Raw genomic sequence first — 19980 nt, forward strand, 5'->3', positions numbered from 1 at the left:
TCAATAGTCCTTTGGGTGCCTTTCATCTTCCTGAATCTTAAAATCTTGAATGTGTTTACATTCTGGAAGTTATAAACTTTTCACCTTCTTTGTCTTCTGTATGCCTGCCACTGACTATATGGAAAACGAGTAGAAAAATCTCATCTGTTCTGAAGCAGTTTCAAGTTGGTGCTCTCTATCTAAAATATCTGTGTAGCAAAGTTAAAATGAATTATCAAAGATACTTATTTATCACTAACACAGACACAGAAATGTGCCTAAAGTGGAGGCAAGTGATATGAAAACAGAGATCAGCATAAATGACAGAAACATTCTGAAAAAGTGCATACTTTCTGCTATTGTTGATAGTGTGGTTTTATATTTCTTTAATATGATGATCATTTTTATCCACATAGAACATAGTTCTTTAGAGATCTGAGGAACTGATGAAGCTCAGTTATTGTAGCATCTAAAATTCACAGGTTCATGGTGACTTCCACTTTTCAACTTGGTCTTGACTTTTTTAAGTGACTAAATAAAACAAGTGAATCAATATTTAAAGAAAGTTTTCCTTGCCTTGATTTTGTTTTTATTAAACTTATTGAAGTTTGAGATGAGGAGAAAGATGTGCTTTTACAGAATGAAGCCTTCAGTGGGATGCTTAAAATACCTTAGGACTTTTCTTTTTTTCTTCACTGCTTGATTAAAACTACAGGCTGAAGCAAGAAAAAATGAGTGAGCTCAACTCATTCTTTCTAGATTTAGGTACTTAACAGAGTCTGCTGCATTATGTTGGTAAGGACCAATTTGACCTTACGCATGGGTAAAGGGGTTAAAGATTATTGAAGGCATAGAAAAGACCTTGTTGCTCAGATAGCCAAAGTGATACACTAGCCACTCTTTTTTTCTCTTTGTAAGTTAACTCTTTGTCTCCCTTCTCTCCTTATCACTGATACATAGTGCTAACAAGTGGTCTGATTCGTTGTCTTAGATCTACATCAAGGCACCAAAGTAATGCCTGCATATATAGTATCTTTAGTATTTTTTTGCCCCTTGCTTTACTGCAGTACCTGCATGTTTGTCCTCACAGCTTACATAGGAAGACAAGTACCATCCACATGCACATAGCCTCCATGATCATGAATTATAGAATATGATGCTACCATCGATTATGTATCCCAGGCGAGAGATACTGGTGTTAGCCTCAGTACTAGGGTTCAGTGACTAAACTTGCCATAATGGATGAAACTCTATGCATACATAATTTATACCCATATCTTTTAATTTGGGTAAATAATAATAATAATAATTATTATTATTATTATTTTGATCCTCAACTTACCATCTCCCCTAGCCCTACTGAACTCATTCTGAATAAGACATTAATTATGAAACACTTAGCATTTTTAATATATAAAAGATTATATGCCAGGCCCTACAGTTCCAAATGGAAAACTGAGGCATAGAAAGTTTATGTAACGCATAATACAATTATTGGGTGTAAGAAAGAATAGAAAGGGAAGAAAGGAAGGAAAGAAGCCATGTCATATTGCCGACTCCCAGAAAACTTAATTGCAAGACAGAAGAAAATTTTTTTCTAATAAAATTTAATCAAGATTTCTTCAATTTTAGCTAAAAAATAAAATTTAGGACTTTGGAATTTGCTAAAAAATAGTTGATTGCTACTCTGGAAGAAACTATTACTTCCTTCAACTTTTTTTCCCCCTGTTTGACTTAGAATTCTCAGTAAGGACAGCTTTTGCTCCAATGTACAATTGACCACATTAAAGTCTCACAAAGAGGAGAAGAGACTGGTTGGGGGTGGAGGGAAGAAAGGCAACAAAGAATAGGCAGTGGAAAGTATCTAGGAGGTCAAGAAAATGAGAAAAAAAAAGAATTTAGAGACAAAGTGTCAGTATGCAAGTCTCAATTGTCTGTTACTGACTGTGTGGTCATCAGAAAGGTGTTTTTCTTTGATAAAAGCATTATGTTTGTCTGTGAATTTAGTATAATAATGAGAAGAAGACATATGTCTATTCTTCCATAAATATTTTTGAATGCTTACACTGTGGTAGGCTATATGTTTGACTCCTGGGATACAATGATGGGCAAAAATGGTCACTTGCTCAGCACTCAAGGAATTTACAATAGAATAAAGGAGAAATCCTATAATTAAATGGTCACAACAATATTCCAATATTATGACTGAGATATGTGCTATTAACAAAAATTTAAATTAGGACTAATCACTTAGGGAAATAGGAGGTAGTTATGAGTTGAGGGGCGATTTGAAAGAAGAGTAGAAATTAACAAGGTTTGTCTGATTTGAGATGACAAGTATTACTACCGGGGGATAGAAATAATTGAAAGACCCTATCATAGGAAGGAGCATGCTTTTTTTTAAGAAATGGAAAATTATGAGCATGTTGTAAAAGAAAGATCGAAAAGAAAGATGAAACCCAGATTGTCAACAGTAATTTACTTCATATGCATCATGGCTACAATACATGAGAAAATGCTTGTCTAAGTACTTGGCAAACATACAGTTCTACATAAGCATTTGATATTTTTGCAATGTTAATCCTGAAAGATTAGTTCTATTCCAGCAAGTGTAATAAGACTAAAATGTAGGAACACAAAAATTAATTTTAATTTAAGTAACCTATGAGATTCTAGACTGGAATATTATATTATTGTGATATCAGTCTTAAATCGATCCAAAAACAATTTTCATAATCACATTGAAAAAATTGCCTTTTGACCGCTGAGGAACTGCACAGGTGATCCCCAGACCTGACTTGGTGCACTATGTTTAACAGGAATGAGAAAGAAAGCAACAAGCTACAAAAAAAAAAAAAATGCAACAATTATGGTGGGTACACAATTACACTATCTACCTTTTATTTATAAAGGATACTTACTAATCATTAAGGAAAAAGTTTGCTTTCTAATAAAAAACTGTTATAAGAATGTCTGCTTGTAATTATCCCAAGAAGAAATCTGAATGATCATTAAATGCAGATTCCACACAAGAATATTGCATTTGCTTTCACTCATAAATAATGCCCCTTTTAGCTTCTTAAAACAAGTAATTGAGCACCTTTTTTCAGGTTACATTTCCTTCTTTGTTTTAATAAACACGTCTAGGGTCATACCATGTCATAGAACGAAACCAATCAATGCTTTCGGGCCCACAAGTTGTTATTGCAAGGCTTAGGATTAAAAGGTCGGCTATTCTGAACCATCAGTGAAAATTTTCTTAGCCTATTTTTGGTTTGAAGGGGATGTTTATAACTCATTTATTCCCTCACAGTTTCAGAGAGGGCCAAAGCCTTTGGTGGAAAGAGCCTTAACATCATCGGATGAATAATAATGAGTTTAAAACATTTTCACATTACTGTTGTTATAAAATTATTTAACTGATATAAATAGTTTTATTAAAGACACCTGGAAAACAGGATAAAAATAATTCATCTAATTTCAAGTGTCAGAATGATCCATGGAAAAACATTTTTAAATGGGTGCTATGCCTTTTTTAGAGTTATTCTGTGAGGACAAAAATCTAGTTTAGTAGCAAAGACTGAGAAAGATGTTCAACCAACGAAAATATTGAATATGGACATTAGAGATAAAGGAAAGCATACAGATATTCTTATAACAGCTGATAATTAAAAACAGAGAGCTCAAAAATAATGTGGTGCTACTTTGGAAAGAAAGGCCTATTGCTTGGGCACCTAGGTCTTGGCTCTGCCTATCATCTCTCTGCCTGACATGCAGCCAGACATGAAATACACATCACTCTGGCATCTTAGTCTATCTTTATTTTTCATTTTAGCATCCCAGTCCATTCTCATGCCTGACAATTGCAATATTGGCCCAATTGGTCTGGCAGCCCCCAGCCTCAATTTGCAATTGACCCTAGGCATGTCGATAGAATCACCTAATCAGAACAACATTTTTCCTAACTGTTCTCTATGCTCAAAAGCCTTCAATGGCTGATCTTTGCATACAGGATAAGTTCGAAATATTTAATAATATCCAAAGTCCTTCTCAGTTGAAATATTATCTTCCTTTTATATGCCACAGTGATAAAATTTACACTAATTTTGAAGAGAAGAGTGATTTCAAAAAAATATAAAATTATTGGAAAGTGATTGCCTCAGTGCCTTGTGATTAGTATACATTTGATAAATGTTTGCTGATTAAATTTAATTGTACATTCTTTCTTACTTCTTCCTGCCATAATATTCTTTACCACAAACATTTCAGGGTATTTTTCTTGACCATAACCTTTGCTGTGAAACAATTGTATTCTGTAAAATGTTACTCTTCCCCACCCCCGGCCACTATTCCAGCTGTGGAGCCATCTGTGGAAATTTCATCCAGAGAGGCCTCTCCGTATATTTTTCTCAGAAGCCTAGTCACTAATCCTCTACAAACAAAGATGTGAACTCAGTCTAATCTTATAATGATTGAACAGGGTAGGAGAAGGGGAGAAAAGTGAATTAGTACACTTAAAGGAGGAAAAAGAAGAAACAGGAGGTACTTTAGCGCTTCTTCTAGGGTCTTAAAAATGAGTCCAAACACATCTATTATTGAGATGAATTTAATTTATTTCTAAACAACCAGTTCTGTGAATCTGAATATAAGAAATTGTTTATTCTCTGATTAGTATAACTTTTATTCTAGTTCTTAACAACTACTGTTGTTACACTAATATGTGTTCTGGAATAAAATAAGTGTTCTAGTTCTTAATTAATTCTCTGTCTTACACACACACACACACACACACACACTCACAGCCACTGAAATTCTGAACTGACTTGATCATGCAAAAAGATATGCCTGTATTGTTCAACAAGAAATTATGGTATGGATGGGTGCTTCATTTAACCCCACACATATATGCACGATATTCTATGATGTAGGCACTAATTTACCCCATACTGAGAGAAAAGGACAGAAAATAAAGAGCAGAATAAACTTGTTAAAATGCAGAAATCCCACTCACAGAAAAGAGGAGACCTCATGTCTACATTTGGATACTGAAGGCTTCCAAATTGCAGTTTTCCTGTAACCCTTTATTGTCTTATAAATCCCTCTTTTCTTTTGTTTACATTTAATTCATTTTTGCCTCTTTTAACCGTGGACATCTAACAGAGATTATCCCATCATTCTTCCCTAAATATCAGATATCCAATATGCATTTCCTTAAGAGATGGGTCTCACTGTCTTATCCAGGCTGGACTCCAACTCCTGGGTTCAAGGGATTCTCCCACCTCAGTCTCCATAGTAGATAGTCAATATGCATCTTTATCTCCAATTATTTGTTAATTATTTTTTTCTTCTAAAGTTTTTTTTCCCTTCTGTTCAGCTATTACTTCAAATATGAAATAAAATCTCTTTCTTCCAGGCTTTCTTCCGGGAAGCTTTCCCCAACACCTGCAACTTTAAGTGATCAATCTCTCACTGAACTGTGACACTGTTGTATGTACTATTCATTTAGCACCTAATTTTCACTCCTTCATTTGACAGTTTTGTCTGTGAATATCTATCCTCCCACATCTGATTGTAATCCCTCAATCGTAGTTACCAGGTTTTAAGCATGTTTCTATATTGAATGTAAACTGCAGTGCTCTGAAACGTCTTTATACTTCACAAAACTCAGTTGACTATGAAGATGATAAGAGGACTAAGAGAAAGTTACAGGAATTTTAAATGACCATGGGGTTAATGTTTCTCAAAATGTGATTTGAAGAAGACCCGTCCTTCGAATTTGAAAAACTGATTATCTGGGATCTAAATTTTTTAACAGGTAGTTCTACTTGATTAATAGGCACCCACTACTTCATGAACTGACCAGATAGCCATGAAATTCTACAACTGGCAAGAGCCATAAATGTTTGCTACTAATTTCTCACTAAAAGCAAGATAAAAATACTGAACATATATGTATTATATTAGTGAGGTACAGGAGCACTAAGTTTTGGTCATTGGGACTGGGATTCCAGGTATTTCACATCATGCTGTGTAGTATCTTATGCCACCCCTATTACAAAGCTGAATCTGCAGATACTGTACAAAAGTTTTATGCCACAGCCTACAAGGGAGAAAAGATTATTTTCAAGCAACTTTCTGGATGGTATTGTAGAAGGACTTTGAAAAAGAGAAATATATTGATTTCCAATGTCACTGTGTTTTGCTTACAAAGGAGTTTTCAGAGTTATTTCAAATATTGGAAACACATGAGATGAATATAATTTTTAGTGGGTATAAGTCTTCAAAAATACAATGAGAAATTTCTGATTAGGCTCTTTACCAAACATAGCTGACAAAGGCACGTTTTCACCTCAGACATCCCATTTCAATGATTTTGCCTATTGTTATGTTGAATTATCATTCACCTGCTATAGATGAATCAATTTCTGCAATTAAAATGGTGCTGTACACCAAGTGACAAGGGAACAAAAAAGCGTAAAGACAAACCCACTGGCCAGAGAAAGTGGCAGGTGATGGGTACACAATGAAGCCATTACACCTGGCTGTTAATTTGGACGATTAACCTGCACTTCTTAAATTTTCCGTTTTCACATGAACCCGAGTAAACATGCACTGATCTCTCTCTCTCTGAATTGTCAAGGCAGATGTTGGTATAAAGCTGGCTTGACAGGTATAAAAATATGCTGAATTATCCATCAACTAATTGCAGCAGTTGGCTGGAGCAGAGGTTAGCTCTGAGTGGCCAACCAGACAGCCAGACACACAGTCTATCATTTTAAAGAAGACTACAAAGGACGATGTTGTTGATTGATTTAAAGAAAAAGTCTACTCTGGTACATATGAAAACTAAATAAATTATAAAACGTGGATAATTTGCTACACTGACAGCAGCAAAATTAAGGGATTTAGTTTCCCACACCAGTTTAATTCACTAATGTCCCTACTGAAACCATTAGCAGGGTGGCATTTGCCGTAATTGTAATTTTTTCCCCCTACATGTGCTTAATTTGCAGGAAGTTTAACATCTGTGAAGCTGCTCATCTGACGGCCCCAGAGATTAAAGTCTGTTTATTGGCATAGGGGAGAGGCTGAGGCAGCCTAAAATCTAGGCTAATATTATCACCTTTGCCATGCATGTTTTTCCACAATCTGGAGACCGGTGAGCTGGGATAAAGAGGCCTGTGAGACCCATTAGACAATGATTAATCCCATATGCAAAAGTATGCTTTTTGAGCTGGGCATGATGAGATAACAAAAATCAATTCGGTGTTTATTGCAAGACAAAATATTTTCTCCCCGAAACATCTTCTTAAGGACATAATAGCTAGAATCCAGGAGTGTGATAATTATTGGAAAGTGTTAAATTAGAGTTCTGGGCCACTAGAAAGAACATTTTACAATTTTCTGGCCAAAGCCTACTTTTGCTAGAGAGACAATAAAGTGTGTACTGGGTAAAGCCTGGGCTCTGTCATCAATTCTTAAGGTGAACCCTGCTTCCAACATTGACCATGGTTTTGCCAAATTATTTCTCTTTCTTCTGTGCCTTTCTTTTTCTTTAAACTAGACAATAATAACTAGTGCCTACATTGTAAGTATTTGTGAGGATTAAATGAATTAATACATAGACAGTACTTAATGTTTGACATTAAAAAAACAAGCAATATTAACTATCATTGCTCTTCTCATGCAATAATATCAATAACTTCCCTAACAAATACCCTACCTTGGAGTGAGACTCTTTTGTCCTTAATGATATAAATAGGTAATTTCTTCATGCGTGTCTTTCAAAAAGTACATCCATTCTTGTGCTCTCTCACCCTCTCTATTTCCTTCTGTGTCTCTCTCTCATTCACCCTCTTGCTCTTTTTCTATCTCTCTTTTATATCTCAATTAAAAAAAGTTAATATGGATTTTTCAAGTTTTGTCTCCCTTTGTTCAATTTCCTTTCTCTCTCTAGGTGTACATAAAGAAAAAGCAACATCTGTGATACTCCTTATACTACTTTGTGGTATGTGGATACTTCTTATACATCATTTATGGAATAAGGTGATCATACATGACTAAAGATGGCCCCACACAGTTATTACAGACTTTTTAAAATTATGTTTCACATCCAAGAGAGATGTGTAGATCTTTCAGCTCTTGCTGCTGATTATGCCAGTACCTTGATAGCATTGATTCTTTAATCTTCTCTTGATTCTTCCTTAAAAAGTGTCTTTGAAAAATTAATTTTGTACAGGGCCAACTACATAATTTATGGGGCCAGTGAAAAATAAGAGTGTGAATCCCTTGTTAAAAAATATTGAGAATTTCAATACAGTGGCAGCAAAGTGTTAAACCAAGTGCTGGTTCTTTTTTTATTTTATTTTATTTTTATTTTTTTTAGTTTACTATTATTATACTTTAAGTTTTAGGGTACATGTGCACAATGTGAAGGTTAGTTACATATGTATACATGTGCCATGCTGGTGTGCTGCACCCATTAACTCGTCATTTAGCATTAGGTATAACTCCTAATGCTATCCCTCCCCCCTCCCCCCTCCACCCACCCCCAAGTGCTGGTTCTTCTGAATGCTAGGCCCTGTGTGGCTGCCCAGGTCACGTGGCCGTGAAACTGGTCTTGATTTTAAGTGTTTGGCCCTTAGAAACAGAATCTGAACTTAATCATAGTCATCTGTAACATTTGTATTGGTGCCTTACCAATAAGAATTATTTTGTCTGACATGTGGACATAGGCTCTTATTTACAGGACTTTTTCACAGGTTGAAAATTGCTAAGTAACTACCCTTACTTTTTAAAAGTTGAAAATTTTCCTGACTCTTCAAGAGCTTCCCTGAATATTTTAGAAAAAGATAATATAAATAAAAACACACATTTCATAATTAAATACAAACCTTTTGTGTCAGCTCTAAAAACTATCAGTTGACTGGTTGGGGGGAAGGAAATTTAGCATAAAGGAAATGAAGGAGCAGCAAAAAAAATAAGAAAAAAAAAGTGATGTACCTGAGGATGCATAAATTCTCCCTTATTTAGCCTCTGTTTATATCACATTAATATTTTTGTTGATTAATCTATTGCTTTTATTACCTAACCTTATTTACAAATGGGATGCCTTAATTTTTTTCCTTCTCATAACTGAAAACCAAAATATTTCAGTAACATTTTCTTAAACGTATCTGTTATTTTTCACAACTGTTATTTTTATTTTGAGAATTTTTCATGACAATAGAATTTAAAAATATGACATCACTGACTGTCATTTCAAGTTTCAGTGCTCAACTTTCAACATTATTATTATTATTTCTAAGAAAATCAATGGAAATACTGCAAAGCAGAATATTACGATGTAAGGTAAGAAAACTATAGAAAATTCTAACAATAACCAAGAAATAATACTATCGGCGTTAGATCTCTACATACCAATCCATGAAGCATTAGTAACTAAAGGAGTATAGTTATGTTCTAATACTGAGACATAAATGAAATCTTTCAGGTATCACGGCTCTGTGATTTTCAGTATTATTATATGGATGTATTACCTTAAAACTTATTAAAAGACGATATATATATTTTAATATACATATTCAAAAAGACCTGTCAGGACATCAATATTATGCCCAACTTTATAGAAAATGAAGCTCAGAAGAGTTAAGTGATATTTTCCAATGTTATAGAGCTAACAGCAAAACATCCTTGGAGAACTTATGGGAAAGGGTGTTAGAATCAAAGAGCAGAAGTGACATCATTGTAGCTGTTTACAATAAGTTATTTGGGGAGGTGGAAGGAATAAATGATTGGCTCATGAAACATAAAAGAGAACTGCCACATGTCTATTTACTGATTAATTCGTGTTTGCACCCATTTATACATTTATTCAAGTACTCTTTCCTTTAATAAATGCTCACTGTTGAAAACTGCAACGAATGTATATGGTTGTCTTATTCAAGTAAAAGTGGTGAATTGAATACATTCTTGACTTTTCTTGTTGACAGTTTGATCACTGCGAGGCTAGGAAATAATGAGAAAACTCCTGCCATGAATAGAATTCTGCCAAGCAGGAAGAATATTTGCTGAAGTGGAAGTGGTGGGAATCTCACGAAGAAGGGGAACAGCCAGTACCAGCCATTACAAAAGGCGGATTTGAAAATGTTTAAAATATTTTTCCTCAGACTTGGCTACAAATTAAAATAATCCAGGGAGTTTGTTTTTTTCGATAAAGTATTCATAGAACCCTTCCCCAGAGATGTTGTTTTCATTAAATGAAGCCCAGGTGAGTGTATGTGTCTGTGTGTGTTGATGATGTGTGTGATTCTGTTGTGTGTTTGTATGCTCCCTTAGGTTTCAGAAATTAATTCAGGAAAGATAAACCAGAAACGGTAGAAAATGGTACCTAAATGGTAGAGTGGAAATAAAGAAGAGAGACTAAAGCTGGGAATTAAACTGCTCTAAGAAAACATTTTGAACTCCGATTTTAAAAAGTATAAATCTTATATAAATTTTAAAAATAAAATTAAAAAGGAAGGGAAACAAGAGTAAATACTAAAATTAAAAGTAAACAGAAACCAGTGAGCAAGAAGTCTAATTGCACACTTAGTAGGCTATAGTGTAAAAACAAAAATGCTACAAACACACTTGTAGTTTACATAACAGATTTACTTAGTATGTGTATTTTTATCATGATGTTGGTATAGTAATTCTTAATTTTTTTGTTTTATTGTAGGATACAGCAAAATAAATACAATTATATTTCTAATAGCCAGGGTTGCCACCATGGGTGAACGAATATACAAATATGGAATGCAAGAGAATGCGAAAGAACCCTATGTTGTTAGATTTCAACTGGACTTATTAATATGGAGTTTTGTTTAGATGTATCCCTCATTGTAGATCTGCTCGCTGAAAGGACATAGAAACAATAAAACCACACTAGTCACAAGCACACACAGTAGTACTCAGATCAGGTTTCTAATCACTGCTAAAAGGAACTAGTACTCTTTGGAAAGTCGGGTCAGGGAATAACTTCTTTGGCCAGAAAGCAAGGAAGATCTCAAAGAAAGATGATGATGTCTTCACTCAGTTTGAACAGAATCCCAGTAGCCATATCTGGAAAAAATTTAGCATAAAAATAATGACAACGATAGATTATATTACATTGAAGAAAACAAAAGTCCATTAATCTCTATACTCAAAGTAAGGGAGAAGAAACAGAGATGACACTGTTTTCTGTTTGTTTTTTTTACGGAGTCTCGCTCTGTCGCCCAGGCTGGAGTGCAGTGGCGTGATCTCGGCTCACTGCAAGCTCCGGCTCCTGCGTTCATGCCATTCTCCTGCCTCAGCCTCCCGAGTAGCTGGGACTACAGGCGCCCGCCACCATGCCTGGCTAATTTTTTGCATGTTTAGTAGAGACTGGGTTTCACTGTGTTAGCCAGGGTAGTCTCGATCTCCTGACCTCGTGATCCGCCCACCTCGGCCTCCCAAAGTGCTGGGATCACAGGCGTGAGCCACCGCGCCTGGCCCGACACTGTCTGTTTTTAAAAGAATGTCTGCTAATAAATGTAAAGGAAAAAATAGAGTTAAAAGGTCACCATTTTTATAACCACCAATGTAATAATTGGTAAGGGTCATCATTAATTAATAAAACTATTCTGATATTTTTACAGTCTCAAATCATTGCACCACAGATAGCTTATTTGTTACAGAAGGGGAAGACACCTTCAGAAAGGAGAGCTCTAGTGGGAAACATTTGAATATAGGATCCAAACTTAACATCGCCAGAATTGAGACAAACTACATCATGCATTTACTGATATGATGCAGTGGGAATAACATACTAAGACCTGTTGAGCAAAAGTCCTAACTGTTCGACTTGGATCTAATCATGAGGAAATAATCAAACACATGGGATATTTTATGGGTCAACTATCTTAGACTTACAAAACACCATTGTTATAGCAAAACGTATTCAACAAATCAAAAAAAAAGAAAGAAAAACAAAGGAAAGGGGAAAAGACCCAGGTATTGTTCTAGAATGAAAGCAATTAGAGATATTACAACCCAATATGATGCATGTCCTTTGTTTATCTCTCAGATACAAAAATTTAAAAAAAAACTATAAAAGAAAGTTTGGGCATAAGGGAAGTAATTGAAATATAAATTATATTTTAGATTATATTATTTTATCAGTATTAAATTATTGTATATGCCAATGGCCATGTTATATAAAGAAATGTTTTTGTTCTTAAACATGTGTTAAAATTTTAGAGCAAAAAATATTGAAACTTCAAGTGGCTCCGTGCATGTGGAGAGATTATGGGGTGGCAGACAAAAAATCAATGTGGCTTGTTTGGAGGTTCTAGCAGGGCAGCACAACTACTCTAATACCCTTGACCAAAGAATAGTCTTCCTCCACTGAAGAAAGTCATCCTACTCCACTGAGCACGCAGCTTGGGAAGGACACACATGGAGCAGTAGGGGAGGAAGGTAGCACCTGCCTAGCCAGTTACACCAGCTGAATCAACCTTGGCAATCAGTGGAGTAATAGAGGTCATTATGTTAAGTGAAGTAAGCCAAGCACTCAAAGACAAATATTGCATGTTCTCATTTTTATGTGGGAACTAAAAGAAGTGGACAAGTATATCCACTGTTGCCACTTTTATTCAAGATAGTATTAGAAATCCTAGCCAGAGCAATTAGCCAAAAAAAAAAAAAAAGAAATAAAAGGCATCCAAACATAAAGGGAAGGAGTAATATTGTCTCTGTTTGAAGATGATGTAATTTTATACAGAAAACCATCAAAGACTTCACCAAAAACTGTTAGAACTGATAAACAAATCAGTAAACTTGGAGGATGCAAAATCAGCATACAAAAATCAATAGCATTTCTATACATGATCAACAAACTATCCAAAAAAGGAATTAAGAAAATGAAAACAATCAACAGAGTGCAGAAACAACCTATAGAATGGGAGAAAATGTTTGCAATCTATTCATCTGACAAGGGGTTAAGATAAAAAATATATACGAGGAGCTCAAACAACAGAATAACAAAAACACAAATAGGCAAATTAAAAAAATGATGAAAGTCTGGAATAGACATTTATCAAAAGAAGGCACACAAATAGCCAACAGGTTTGTAAAAATGTTCACCATCACTAATCTCAAGGAAATGAAAATCAAAAGCACAATGAGAAATCAGCTACCCCCAGTTAGAATGTCCTTTATCAAAAGACAAAATATAACAAGCATGGGAGAGGATGTGGAGCAAAGGGAATCCATTTCACTGTTGCTGGAAATGTAAATTACTATAGCCATTATGAAAAATGGTAGGAAGCTTTCTCAAAAAATGTAAAAATAGAAGTACCTTATGATCCAGCAATCCCACTTCTAGGTACATATACAAAAGAATTAAAATTAGAATATTGAAGAGATATCTTCACTTCCATGTTTATTACAGCGCTATTCACAATAGCCAAGATGCAGAATCAACCTAAGTGTTCACCAATGTATGAATGAATAAAGAAAATGTGGCATAAGTACACAGTGGAATACTATTCAGCCATAAAATGAATGAAATCCTGCCATTTGCAGTAACACAAGTAAATCACATAGAAGTGCAGAGTAGCATGGTGGTTACCAGGGATTGGGGAGATGGTGGTCACAGGGTAAAAAGATTCACTTAAACAGGAGAAATAATTTTTGAGATCTATTTCTCAGCATGTTGACTATAGTTAACAATAATGTTGTGTATATTTTAAAATTGCTGAAAGAGAAGATTTTAAATGCTTGTAACACAAAAGAATGATAAGTATGTGAGGTAATGTGTATGTTAATTACATTGATTTAATCATAATCCCATAATATATATATATACATCATCAGGTAACATTGTACCTGATAAATACATATAATTATTGTTAATTAAAATATAATGATTAATATAACAAATAAAAAGTAGTATAATTTATCAATTAATATAGAAAATTTTAACTTCACCTTTTTTTAAAAAAACACAGAAATTAATACACTTATAATACCCATTATGAAAGAGGTTCAGTAAAATTATACTTATAAAATCTCCCTGGAAGACAGCTTTGCAAATACTTACCTAAAGCCTTAATAATACATATTTTTTTTTTACTTCAACTTAAACCTGGAAACTTTATTTCAAGAATTAGGAAGTTCTAGCCAGAGCAATCTGGCAAGAGAAAGAAATAAAAGTCCTCCCAATAGGACAGAAAAGATGTCAAACTATTTGTCTTTGCCAATGATATGATTTTATACCTAGAAAACCCTAAAGACTCTGCCAAAAGTCTCCTGGTAAACAACTGCAGTAAAGTTTCAGGATACAAAATTAATGTACAAAAATCAGTAACATTTCTGTCCACCAATAACATTCAAGCTGAGAGCCAAATCCAAAACACAATCCCATTTTAAAAGCCAAAAAATAAAAACTAAAATACCTAAGAATACATGTAAATGAGGAGGTGAAAGGTCTCTACAAGGAGAACTACAAAACACTTCTGAAATAAATCATAGGTCACACAAATGAAAAAACATTCCATGCTCATGGATAGGAAGAATCAATGTCATTAAAATGACCACACTGCTCAAAGCAACCTATGGATTCAATGCTATTTCTGTAAAACTACCAATGCTATTTTCCACAGAACTAAGAAACACTGTTATAAAAATCATATGGAACCAAAAAAGAGCCCTAATAGTCAAAGCAATAGTAGAGCAGAAAGAACAAAGCCAGAGATATCACATTGCCTGACTTCAAACTCTGGTATAAGGCTATAGTAACAAATACAGCATGGTAGTGGCACAAAAACAGACACATAGACCAATGAAACAGAATTTACCCTAGAAATAAAGCCACACACTTACAGCTATCTGATCTTCAACAAAATTGACAAAAATAAGCAGTGGGGAAAGGACTCCTTAATAAATGGCGCTGGGATAGCTGGCTAGCCATATGCAGAAGAATAAAACTGGATTTCAACCTATCACTACATACAAAAATTAACCCAAGATGGATTAAATATTTAAATATAAGACCTCAAACTATAAGAATTCTAGAATAAAACCTAGGAAACACCATTCTGGACATCGGCCTTGGAAAATAATTTATGAATAAGTTCGCAAAAGCAATTGGAACAAAAACAAAAATTGACAAATGGGACCTAATTAAATTAAAGAGCTTTTGCATGGCAAAAGAAACTGTCAAAAGAGTAAAGAGACAACCTAGAGAATGGGAGAAAATATTCACAAACTATGCATCCAACAAAGTTCTAATATCCAGAATCGATAAGGAAATTAAAATATCGAACAAACAAAGAAGAAATAATCCTATTTAAATATGGACAAAAGACATGAACAGACACTTCTCGAAGACAGACATAACCTGGGTGAGGTGGCTCATGCCTGTAACACCAGCACTTTGGGAGGCTGATATGGGAAGATCACTTGAGCCCGAGAGTTAAAGAATAGCCTGGGCAACATAGGGAGACCCTGTCTCTAAAAAATAATAATAAAAATAAATAATAAATAAAAAAGAAGACATATAAGTGGCCAAAAACCATGAAAAGTGTTCAACATCGCTAATCATCAGAGAAATGCAAGTCAAAACCACAATGAGATACCATCTCTCACCAGCCAGAAAGGTTATTACTAAAAAGTCAAAAAACAACAGATACTGGCAAGGCTGTGGAAAAGGGGAACACTTATATACTGTTGGTGGAAATGTGAATTAGTTTAGACACTGTGAAAGCAGTTTGGAGATTTCTCAGAGAATTTAAAAGAGAACTATCATTTGGCCCATCAATTCCATTACTGGGTATATATCCAAAGAAAATAAATTGCTCTGCCAAAAAAACACACGCCTTGTCTGTTAATTGCAGCGCTATTCACAATAGCAAAGACATGGAATCAACCCACGTTTCCCTCAGCAATGGACTGGATAAAGAAAATGTGGAACGTATACATTGTGAATACTATACAGGCATGAAAAAATAATAAACTTATGCCCTTTGCAGCGACACCAATGCAGGTGGAGGCCATTATCCTAAGCAAATTAATGTAGGAATAGAAAAACAAATACCACATGGTCCCACTTATAAGTAGGAGCTAAATATTAGCTACCATAGGATAATAGACACTAGGGACAAGTAGAGGGAGAGGGTGGGAGGAAGAGAAGCAGGGGTTGAAAAACTATTGCGTACTATGCTCAGTACCTGGGTGATAGTATCAACCATACCCCAAACCTCGGCATCATGTCATATACCCAAGAAACAAACCTGTACATGCACTCTCTCAATCTAAAGTAAAAGTTGAAATTTGTTTAAAAAAGAATTAATGATTTGGAATTAAGGATACACTCAAGACTTAAGTACAAAGATGTTTACCATAGCATTGTTTATAATTGTGACAAATTAGAAATAGCCTAAGTAGCAAAAGTAAAGGCTTGGTTAAATAAATTGTTGCACATGTATACAATTGAACATCTTGTGGCCATTAAAATATACATAGGACAATTATATTTATTAATGTGAAAATGTCAGCATATAGAAAAAATAATAAAAGGTTATAAACTAGCACAAATCTATTTTACTTACAAAACAAAACAAGTTTGTATAGTATATATAAACAAATAAAAGGAGATTCAGTAAACTATTATGTTTAGCTATTTTTGGTGAGATGAGAGGTGTTTTTTCTTATGTTTTTTTATTTTCTAGCATTTAAAAAATATTAATGCATACGACTAAAAAATATTATAAAAAAAGAATATGCAAATAAAAAAGATTGTAAGGGCTACTAAGGGAGCTCTAAAAATCACTCCAGTTTTGAAGACTTTATTCAAATGAAATACAGGAGCATTTCTAACACTATCATTATGCCGTATGAAGGCAGTGTCAGGAGGGTCATGGTCACATTGAGCTTAGAATAATACAAAATAAGATGAAAGGGGATTTTTTTTTTTTTTTTTTTTTTTTTGCAGAGCAGGAAGAGAAAGGGTGAAGAAACGACAAAGAAGAACAGAACAAAAAAAAGACAGAAAATAAGAACCCTTTACGACACTTTTCTGTCAAGAAAAGTGATGTTCAGATTTCTAAAGGCAGAACAAAGTTTACTAAGAGAGAATCAATGCCTGTAATACGCAAAAAAATATTGCAAGAAAGCACTTACATATTAGGGACTCTGACACATGGGCAAAGGTAGTAACAGAAGGAAATGGGGCAAGGAAACTGGGACAAGTCAGAGTAAACAGTTATGCGAAAATTTAAAAGATGGGATGAATTGAAGGGAATGTCTAATATTTGCAAGTAAATGGAAATTCCAGGAGTACAAGGCCCTTGAAAACTGACAGTAAATACAGCTGCTCTGCAAGGAGGCTGCCTTAAAACTGCTCTGGCAAAAGAGCTGCAGGGCCCTCTCAGCCCAACTAAGGCTTCAAAAATCTCTAATTCATCAAACTAGTCGTCCAGCAAACTGATTTGTTTGTAATATGACCTGCTTCCTTTCAAGTCTTTACCGGAAGATCATTTATTAAAATAAGAATAATCTTTGAATAAACCATAGCTCTCATTATAAGATATATTAATTAATATTATTTATTAATTGATATTAATATTATTAGTTGATATTAATGAATAAATAAATGTATAATGCCTTATGATTATTAATCCTGAGCATTTATCAAATGCTTATTTCATAGCCAGACAACCCTGATGTATGCTTTTATTTACATTAGGACATTAAATTATTGCATCTACACTGTGAAGTAATTGCAGTTATGTTTTCCAGTTTATACATAAGAAAACCATCTGTAAAATGGAAACATTTAAATGACTACTAAAACATTGTACTTTTTGCCTTCCTTTATGGGTGTCCTAGCATTCAAGAGTCCTTAGTGCATAATATAAGGGAATTTCATTTGTCCTAGTAGTTGGCAAATATTTTATTTCTAATTGATTAGTTTTTGTATGTTTGTTAATTTTTTTTTGTCATTTTACTTATGCTTCATTGTGTAACATAATTTGATGTTCTATGCTATGTCTTTTAGGTTACAAAAAGAAATGTAGGGTGACATTGTGAAATAAAAAACATTTTAAGTAAAGATCCCTGGTAAGAAAACTAAGTTGGAGTTAGACAGCTAGATAGCAGTCTATTTGAGGCTCTGCAAATGACTTTCTCTAGTACTTCTGGTTCAAACTGACAACACTTTTTTGATGCTCTACATGCATCTGGATCTTCTGTAGAAAAGCATTTCCTCACATTACATTGCACTGCTGCAGGAATCAAACTGATTATAAACTGGTAAACAGGCTGGTATGCAGGCCACATGATTAATTTTTAACTGTGCAGTTACTTCCATAAGACAGCCTGTCAGGGGACTTTAAGTTAGTGAAAATAATTAGGTCTCTTATTTCTAATAAAAATATTCCATGTACAATTGCTCTATCTTGACTATTAAGTGGATAGACGAAAGAGAAAATATGTCTTTCTGCAACAGTTTCTTGTGACCTATTAGCATAAAAGCTACGCCATCTATTTTCATTGTACATGCTTGTTAAAATTAGAAAATAAACACATTTGAACATTTTCTACCGCATCTCATCTCAAATGATGTTTTTAATCTCAACAGCTGACTTTAAGGAAGTGAGTTTTGCTTGATTTGTTTGTTGTTTTTTTTAATACCAGATCTTCTTACCTTTTCTGTTAGTGTGTGTTTATTAGAAGTTAGTGCTTTCTTGTTCTGACATAGATAAAAATGAATATTGTCATGCAACTGTGCTAGACGTAAGTAGAATGAGAGACATTAGAACATGCCCACTGTACTACCCCAGCAGAAATGTTAAGTGTGAAGAAATATCCTACCTGAGACCGAGTCCTCACATAAAAAACTTTGTAGGGAGCCAGTGGGCATCCTTGGTGGACTCTCCAATCTCCAAAGATACTGCTCTTATTAATGTGGTGTTTCACAAATGGGTTGATTCTAAGGGAAGTTCGTAACAGCATCTGCAAAAAATTACAAGAGTAAGTACTAATTTGGACAAAATAATCCATCTCCAAAAATACTAAATAATGGATGCTGTGAATAACTTCCCACCTTAAGCTACCTTCCTCCCATTGTCAGAATGATTGCTTTCTTTGTCGTACCTAAACTGCATATGAGAAACTATCCATTTACTTGCAGTGGCATTAAATCCTCTTTCCTACAAACTGTAAAAGCTCCATTTTCTCAACTTGCCAACTTTTATCCTACTTACCAACTATGCAATCAGAAATAGTAAAAAATGTGGGTTCAACAAATTGCTGAACTATTCTATCAAGCAATATGTCAAGGTCTAGGTCTTTACTGCCTTTTAAGAAAATGTACTGCTTTTCTTGTACGTGCTGATAATCTATAGCTCATACAGACGGCAGTTATACCGCTCTCCTTGCCCTCCACTCAACACTACCTTAAAAGACACACTGATATTTATGAACACATAAAATCACACGTGACCTATTTATCTAACCTATATGTTCCATTATAACATCAACTCAATTCTCAGCCAAGAACCGTTTTCTGAAAAGTTGCCAAAATTTAAGTATTCTCTAATGAATTTGCCAGAGGTGGGTGAGAAGTTAAAATTATCCAAATATATACAGATTTCACAAGAAAATAATAATGTATTGCACTAAAAATTAAACTGTGATTAGAATGTTGGAAATGTTTTTCTTTACTGGCAAGTGGTAGAAGATAGAAAATTGTAAATTTGTTATTTTTCATTATTTTATAGTTTTTGTATTATATTTTTGATAGGGAAAAAATATGACATATATAAGCATATGTGTATTTTCCAATGAGCTTCTTTACATAATTTTTATGTGCACAAATTATGCCTGTAACTACTCAAAACAGTTTTCTATAGAAATTTTCACTTCAAGAAAATACACTCTGATAAAACAGTAATTGTAATAATAATCATACCTAACATTATTGAAGGATTATTTAGG

General features: G+C 34.2%; 1 long non-coding RNA gene across 6 annotated transcripts in view; it reads right to left on the reverse strand.

The window, feature by feature from the left end:
* The window catches only part of LOC107986108 (uncharacterized), a 279502-nt gene that overhangs the window by 168137 nt on the left and 91385 nt on the right, over nucleotides 1–19980 (reverse strand). For 4 of the 6 annotated variants that reach the window (XR_001740833.2, XR_001740832.2, XR_001740829.2 and 1 more), the window contains 2 exons: nucleotides 18856–18996; nucleotides 9159–11082 (listed from right to left, as the gene is read on the reverse strand). This is a non-coding gene — a long non-coding RNA (uncharacterized LOC107986108). Of the gene's footprint in view, nucleotides 1–9158; nucleotides 11083–18855; nucleotides 18997–19980 lie in introns of those variants that run through there. The other 2 variants (XR_001740831.1, XR_001740830.1) reach the window with 1 other exon arrangement.

The sequence above is a fragment of the Homo sapiens genome, chromosome 3 (assembly GCF_000001405.40).
Source record: "Homo sapiens chromosome 3, GRCh38.p14 Primary Assembly".
Classification (NCBI taxonomy): domain Eukaryota; kingdom Metazoa; phylum Chordata; class Mammalia; order Primates; family Hominidae; genus Homo; species Homo sapiens.